Source organism: Homo sapiens, chromosome 9, assembly GCF_000001405.40.
Source record: "Homo sapiens chromosome 9, GRCh38.p14 Primary Assembly".
NCBI lineage: Eukaryota > Metazoa > Chordata > Mammalia > Primates > Hominidae > Homo > Homo sapiens.
Genome location: NC_000009.12, coordinates 1,023,796 through 1,032,447, shown reverse-complemented (window position 1 = coordinate 1,032,447; position 8,652 = coordinate 1,023,796).

Below are 8,652 nucleotides of genomic sequence, written 5' to 3'. Positions count from 1 at the left end.
CCAGGTAATGTGTGCAGGATCTGTGGCTTTATTGTGTCCCTGCTATGTTAATTAGTATTAGGAGCATGATGGATTGGCAACACGTGTGCGCTCTGAGTCTTAAACCAGCCCTGAGAGTTTAGCACTCCATTAGTTACACATCACAGAAACCCAGGGGATGTTTACTCAAAAAGAGGATCACTTACAGGAGGGAAACATGCTAATTCACTCCCGATACTGTCTGGGGAGAGGGACACCCCATCCACCAGTGAGTAGTGTAACCCGTGATCCAAGACAGAGCTGGAATTAGAAGCTGGCGGGAAACTACAGAAAACCCCGGCCCCCAGCCTGGGAACCCTGAAATCTCAAATCCTCAGTTGTTCCTACATGAATCCCTCTGAGACAGAAGTTCAGAGAAGGCTCTGTGTTGACATTTCAATTCATTACCCCGTTCCAGAAGCAAGGAACCCTCTCCCACACCCGTGCCAGGCCACAGAGAAGGGAATTCCTACTCTGCTGTCCTTCTCACCAAATTTTCCAGCAGCTGTTGCCTCTCAGGCCTGGACCAGCTGTATCTACCCCCACTCCATCACAAAGGGTACCAAGAGGGCCCGTGAAGGGGTGTCTGAAATCCCGGAAATCCGCAGAAGCAGGCGATTATTACTGACCTATTTTTAATTACAAATTAGAAATAATCAAAATGATTTGATTTTGTGTTCATTCAGAGGGCTTTAGAGAAGATAAGCTCTCTGCTCCCTTCTGACCCTAAGGTTCTAGAGTTTTAATGTTGTCGAAAGCAATTCTGTAGACACGAGGAAACACAGGTGCAGCTAAAACATTAATGGATCCATGAATGGTGCTTGCTTTATATTCTCCAGGCTAACACGTATGCAATGTCTACCAAGAACACATGATGTCCAGCTTTATACAGTGCATGCATTTAGGCAATGATGGAGTTTCTGAGGTATAAATGGCCCTCCCCGCCCAGGGCCAATTTCAAGCTGACATCACTGAACACAAAGTTGAGAAGAGATGTTTACCATTAGCCCTTGCAAGATGGTAGGAGCAGGTCCAGCACACCGCTACAAATTCAATAAATAAATTGGGATTGAAAATTATCCCTGTGCCTTGTTGCCTTGTTATCTGCAAAGTCTGTCTTCCTTCTCTCCCTTCTTCTCTCTTTTTTTTTTTTTTTTTTTTTGAGACAGAGTGGCTGGAGTGCAGTGTTTCAATCTCGGCTCACTGCAACCTCCACCTCCCAGGTTCAAGCAATTCTCCTGCCTCAGCTCCCCCTCCAAGTAGCTGGGATTACAGGCGCATGCCACCATGCCTGGCTAATTTTTGAATTTGGTAGAGACGGGGTTTCACCATGTTGGTCAGGCTGGTCTCGAACTCCTGATCTCACATATCTGCCCACCTTGGCCTCCCAAAGTGCTGAGACTACAGGTGTAAGCCACTGCGCCTGGCCCTTCCTTCTCTCCCTTCTAATCTCAGGCCCTAAATCAGTATATCTGGGTTCAAATCCCGGTTCTGCTGGTGTGAAGCCTTGGGTGTATCCCCTTTTCTCTTTCCTCACCAACAAAATTTGATACTTTTAAAGATAGGCTGTTTTTACAGAGAGTAGAGTAATAGATATCAGGGGTTGCGGGGCAGAGGGAGCAAGAGAATGGGGAGATGTTGGCCAAGGGTACAAACTCTGAATTCTAAGATGAAGCAGCTCTGGGGATCTAATGTACAGCCTGGTGTCTATAGTTAACAGTACTGCATTACATACCTGGAATTTTTTTGGAGAGTAGATCTTGGGCATTCTCTCACCCACAAAAGGTAACTATGTGAGGTGACAGGTGTGTTAATTAACTCGATTGTGATAATCATTTCACAATGTCTACATATATCAAATTATCAGATTGTATACATTAAATATATATAATTGTATTCGTCAATTATAACCTAAATAAAGCTGAAAATTTTTAAATAGGTTTGACTCTATATGGGTGTTGTAAGGATTAAATACTTACTTAACATACCATAAAACAGTGATACTTGAACTTCAGTGTACATCGAGATCACCTGGTCTGCTTTCTAAAGCACAGCTTGCTGCGCCTCACCCCAGAGTTTCTGATTCAGCAGGTCTGGGCTGGGGCCTGAGACATTGCATTTCTAACACGTTCCCAGGCAATGACATGGCTGTCCAGAGCTCACACTTGGAGAACCACTAACCTGAAGGGTTCCGTAGGGTGCCTAGAATTTATTAAGTATGGTTTTATGATCATCGATTCCAAGATGTCAGAGCCATTGCCTCTAAATAAAGACCATGCCACGAAGACTCCAGGCCTTCCCTAAGTGAAGGTCCTATCCCAGAAGGCTCCTCTGGATCTGTGAAAACTTCCACTGCCGTCAAACAAGGAATAGCAGAGAGAGCTGCCACTCTTTCCTTGCTGTTCCCTCCATCGGTCAGTCAACAATTCAACACCAACTGAGTGCCCAGCATGTGTGCCAGCTCTACAAAAGGTAAAGATCAGGTAGGGTTAACAGGCACACACCTTAAAGAGACAGATAGAAAAGGGATTAGTTCAGAGGACCTTAGCCCAAAGGAGAGATCCCCTAAGGGCACCTGTTCTCACATCAGGCATTCAAGTTTGCTTGGCTGTTTGTTTTCAGCAGTTGATCATATGTACTCCTGGGCAGCACAGGTACTCACTGGTGACAGCAGGAGGTGATAGGGTCTACTCTAAGCCTCAGGTATGACTCAATCTTGAGAGAAGTACATGGATTAATTTATATTCTGCATCACGTATCCTTCCTAAACCCCTCATTTTGTGTTTCACACTACATGTAAATAACTCAAAAGTATGTAACTTCATATATTTGCTTTTCATTACAATTACTAATTGCCCCCAAGCCTACTGCATTTGCTGCATACCCAAGAGGGAAGGTAGGAATGGTTAAATCTTAATGGCTTTTTAGGTCAACAATGCTACTAGTAATTCTTTTTTGCTAAAATAAGTCACAGAAGCCACACCCTGGGATCAGGCCATACGGTAATGGCAGCTTAAAATAACACAAGGGAAAGCAGGGCTCACCAACTGAGAAACAGAATTTTTATGCCCCACTCATTCCCTCGAGAACTGCCTGGACAGTGGTTCCCGGCAGCTGGGGTGTTAGGACCCATGCTCTGCTTGATTATGAGACAACTAACACCATCCCTTCCCTGCACACAGCAACCACAGGAAACTACAGGAGACACAGTAGAGTATTGAAAACCCAGATGAGAATCCCTGGGGAGGCAGGTCCTTCAGACCCTCCATGGACCTTAGCCCTTGAAAGGCTCACTACTCTGATTTTCAGATATACCCAGAAAAGGACTGGCCTAACGTTTCCATCTCACTTTAATGGCTACATTTCTTCCCTTTCATGCAATACAGTTCCAAACTGGTGCCAGCACAAACGTTTGCCTTGTACACAGACCCCCCCGCCCACAACCCAACCCTGTTAGACCAGCTGTACCAGAGCCAAGAAATACTGGCTCCATCCTTCCCCCTTCCCATATTTTTCATTTAGAAGGTAGCTGGTTCCTCCAAAAGCATTTCAAGATGATAATCCTCTTCCTTCCTGCAACACTCAAGCCAACTGCCTTTCACCTCTCCTGCCATCTTCAAAGTTTCCACAAGGGTTACGACTAAGTGGGGAGGCAGAGGAAAAGTTAGCCTTCGGCCTGTTTGTTAATGAATCCCACAGAACAAAGACACAATGCCAAAAATGTTGGCGCTATATCATACCCTTCACAGAATGAACAAATCATACTACTAGAAAATTCCTAAAGTCAATACGGAATGAGGTGGAAACTAGCCAGCAATTTAAAACAAGAGAAATTTTCCCTTGTGTTTTAAGCGCTCATCTTTCCCTCTGTTATGCTAGTCACATTCTTGTGGCTTATAAACCAAAGTCAGAGGAAAAGATTAACAGAGGTGACAATACGAACATTAAAACAATAGAAGGAAAAAGGAAGGAAGGAAGTGAAGGGGGAAGGAAAGGAAAGAGAGAGGGAGGGAAAAGAAAGAGGAAAGGAAAAATTACAGACTAGTGACAACATTTGCAGGTGAATAGCTTAATTAGGTAAGTATTGTTCAGATAATAGAAAACAGCAGTGAACAAAATTCACAAAATAATAAATATAACTAGTAATCAAATACAGAAAGATAGCCTCACTGGAAATCAAAGAAATGAAAAATTAAGTTATTGAGATATCAGTATTAACCTAATAAAGTAGCAAAAAAGAATTTTCTGTTCACAGCCAAAGCCAGAAAGCTTACTGTAAAACTGGCACTCAAACACTGCTGGGAGCAGTAAAACTTGGTACAATACTTGGGCAAAGCGATTTAGAAATACAAATCAAATGCCATAAATTGTTTCTACCCTTTGACCCGGAAATTCTACTTGTGGAAAACGAAATAACCCAAAAGAAGGAAGCTATACACACAAGTATGTTGAAGGTAACATTTACAATTTTAAAAAAATTGAAGCAACCTAAAAGCCCCACAATAGGGAACAGCTAAGAAAACTGCTGTACATTCATGCATTCATTTATTCAACAAACATTTAATCATCAGCCTCCATGTGCCAGTCACTCCTTCTAAAGGTAACCAGTAACAGCAGGCGTGGGAGACAGAGTATACATTTACAGATTTTCCCTTTAAATGAAGAGGTGTCAGCCTTCAGTGGGACACTGGCATATGTATCACTCCCAAGTCATCAGAGAATAAAACACCCAATGTAAATATTACGGAAATTGATGACAGTTGGCCTTGAGGCCTACTTGACTAAGGGCTCTGGAGAAAAGCGTTGGGAAAATCATGGCAGATGGCTATGCTAAGGGCTCCAAGTAGCCCTGAATTCACAGCCCACTACTTTAAGACACTTGAAATTAAATGTACTGGGGCCGAGTGTGGTGGCTCATGCCTGTAATCCCAGCACCTTGGGAGGTTAAGGTCAGCGGATCACTTGAGCCCAGGAGTTTGAGACCAGCCTGGCCAACATGGTAAAACCCTGTCTCTACTAAAAATATAAAAAAATTAGCTGGGCATGGTGACAGGTGCCTGTAATCCTAGCTACTCGGGAGGCTGAGGCAGGAGAATCGCTTGAACCTGGGAGGCAGAGGTTGCAGTAAGCCGAGATGGCACCACTGCACTCTAGCCTGGGCAATAGAGTGAGACTCCGTCTCGAAAAAAAAAAAAATGTATTGGAGCCCCTGAGCCTGAGCAACCAGTTGCCTTTAAAGAGCCCTGTGAATATGTACTTGATTCCTGGTTTCTGGGGGGGTGCGTGGAGGCGACAGGCAGAAGCAGGTGATGGAACAGATCTTCGCTCCCCAACGGGGCTCCATTCCTCAAAACATGTTCCCTGAGCCTTCCTGTGTGCTCAGCACCGTACCTCTGGCTCTCAGGAGGCCCCACTGACTGTCCAGGAGCAGAGTCAGGGAGCACCGGGCATGAAAGGAGGGGCAGCCAGCACGCAGTCAAGGAAGCTGGCCTGTCTTAGGACCATCGGCTGCTTGGGTCAGCCTTGCCAAAGGGAGCCCTTGGGGACGCACCACCTGCCACTGGCCTCTGACAGCAGCACCCATCTTCCAGGAAGAGTGGGCTGCCCCAGGCGCTGACGTTAGGCATGGACACCTGCCTCCAGGCTGCAAATCAGGATATCGGCTAACATGCCACCCTCCAAAGGAGCCACTTTTCCACTTTTCCAAAGATTTTTTTCGATCGGGAATAACTCTTCATTTCATAATTAGAAATGTCTTCAAATCAATCCCCCGTGGCAAGATAAAAGTAACAAATATAACAAGTTAAGTATTAAGCATAGTACTTGCTATGTGCAGGATATTATTCTAAGTGCATTACATACAGCAGTTCATTTAATTCTCACAACAAACCTGTGAGTAAAGTACTATTTTATAAATCCCATTTTATACATGAGAAACTGAAGCACAGAGACACTGAGCAGCTGGCCCAGGTTACACACTAGCAGAAGGACCTTTTGACCCAGTAATCTCACTTCTGGGAATAAATTAACCAAAAAGAGTGAAAATTTATATACACAAATATATTTGTGGTGACATTATTTAACATAGGAAAAAGTTGGAAGCAACCTAGAATGAACAATAAGCAAAAAATAGCTAAGTAAATACATTCTTTTTGTATGGGATTTGTACTCAGGCAGGCTTACCTCTTTAGAAAGGGGATAGCTAGCCAGCCATGGTGGCTCATGTTGTAATCCCGGCACTTTGGGAGGCTGAGGTAGGAGGATTGCTTGAGCTTAGGAGTTTGAAACCAGCCTGGGCAACATAGTGAGAACCCCCCACCTCTATGGAAAAAAAATCGAATTAGCTGGGCATGGTGGAATGCACCTGTAGTCCCAGCTACTTGGGAGGCTGAGGTGGGAAGATCAGTTGAGCCTGGAAGGTTGAGGCTGTAGTGAGCCATGTTCATGCCACTGCATTCCAGTCTGGGTGACAGAGAAAGACCCTGTCTCAAAGAGAGAGACAGAGAGAGAGATAGAGAGAGGGAAAGGAGAGGAGAGGAGAGGAGATAAACTTTACTATGGGTAAATGGTTGAGATACAGAGCCAACTTTTCTGTGCCAACTACTTCTGTGAGTAGTTTTGGGAGAGGGGAGACACTAATGCCTGAAAGATGAGGGACATGGAGGTGGCGGTTAGAGTCAGGGCCCAGGTGACACATTTTGATGACCTCATGGTTTTGCCTATATGAGGTCTGTATACCCTAGTCTTTCCCAGACACAAACTGCTTATACCTACCTCCTCTTCTTCAAAATCAGAAATAAGAGGTAATAATCTAGTTGCCCACTTGTTTTTTTAAGGAAGTAATTGGGCTTTTATTCTCCCCAAAAGCCACAGAACCGCTGGCTAATCTAAACCAAACCAAAACTTCTACCCACTGTTTCGCTGTGGTCAAGAAACACGTTAACAGCTTTTGCTGTGGGCTTGGATCAAACGCCTCAAGCTGGGCTACCCAGGGGCTTAGCAGATTCCCATGCTTCCAGGCTAAGGAGCAGCGCCCCTGAAGAAGATTTTCTCAAGTTAGCATTGTGAGTCATTCCAGGGGCCGGGCTAGGGAACAAAGCACAGCTAGGACTGGCCTGCCATCTGTAGCGGCCCCACTCACGTCACCTGCCATGCACCTCAAGCACGGACAGGCACAAGCACATTCCACCTCCCACCCAACAGACACACTTGTGCATGAACTTGCCTGCACACACACACACACACCCTCCTCTCCAGTTGGTTTCCCTCCTGCCTCCTCCACAATGCTCACTGCTAAGAAGCACTCCTTCCTCTGAGGTTCTGCTGGAAGGTGTCTAGGGACACAGGTGAGGCCTTCCTGAGCCCCTGCTCCCATATGGATTGGGAATTACCCCCTTTTACTTTTGAAAAGGCCTTTTTTTTTTTGAGACAGAGCCTTACTCCATCACCCAGGCTAGATTACAGTGGCATGATCTCAGCTTACTGCCACCTCCACCTCCCGAGTTCAAGCGACTCTCCTGCCTAAGCCTCCTGAGTAGCTGGGATTACAGGTGCACACCACACGCCTGGCTAATTTTTATGTTTTTCTTAGAGGCGGGGTTTCACTATGTTGGCCAGGCTGGCCTCAAACTCCCAATTTCAGGTGATCCACCCGCCTCGGCTTCCCAAAGTGCTGGGATTACAGGCGTGAGCCACCATGCCCAGCCTGAAAAGGCCTTTCTTAATTCCTTCTTTAATTTAATATCCCAGGATATGAAAAAGAGATTTGGCCAAGAAATCAAGGGCTATCATGGATCAGGTTGTTGTGGACTCTTGGCATTCCGAGTTTCAACATTCATGATTCCAGCTTTCCCTGTGTGACCTTGAAGATCCGGGATATGCAGGCAATGGTGATTTTACTGGGACACAAATTTGAATCAGACTCACTGCATGGCTGGCATGCAAATGAGTCCTTTAATTAGAGTGAGTGAGCCTAGCTGAGCACCTAGCAAGTGCATCTCAGCCCAGCATTGGGGCTCTGTACTGGAAATCTAGAATACATTTACCAAAAGAAGGGAGAGTCATTTAGGCACCTGAGGCTCTCATGAAGGTCTTGGAATATATCACCATAATGCCATGAGTCATCCCTTTTCTCTTTCACTGTCATAAAGACACCAGGAAATGTATCCTTAAGTGTGGGTGGAGATAAAGGATTTGGTTCTGTGAGCTGTGTGACAGTACAACCTGCATGGATCAGTCAGTAGGTCAGGATGTAGATGACGTGGGTCCCCAAATCAGGATTTCTGTCCTAAGCAAGAGTTAGACAAGCAATGGGCTTCATCCCTTCCTCTGGGAACTTGTGGTATCAGCAAAGAAAATGCAGTCAGAAAGAGAAAAGAAAATGTAAGCTGACAACAACGACTGACTCCTCAATTCAAGGAAAGATACGAGGACATGCTTGTCTATAGGGGAAATGTTTCTGTAGTATCTCAAAGCACAGCTTTGATGACAGACATGGCTTAATGTCCAGCTCTGCCATTATTGGTTATAGTATTTCTCTAAGCCTTCATTTCTTTATCTGAAAATGAAAAATAGTAAAGTATCTTCCTCACTGAGTTACGAGGTTTCAATAAAAAGATGTGTATGAACTAGTAA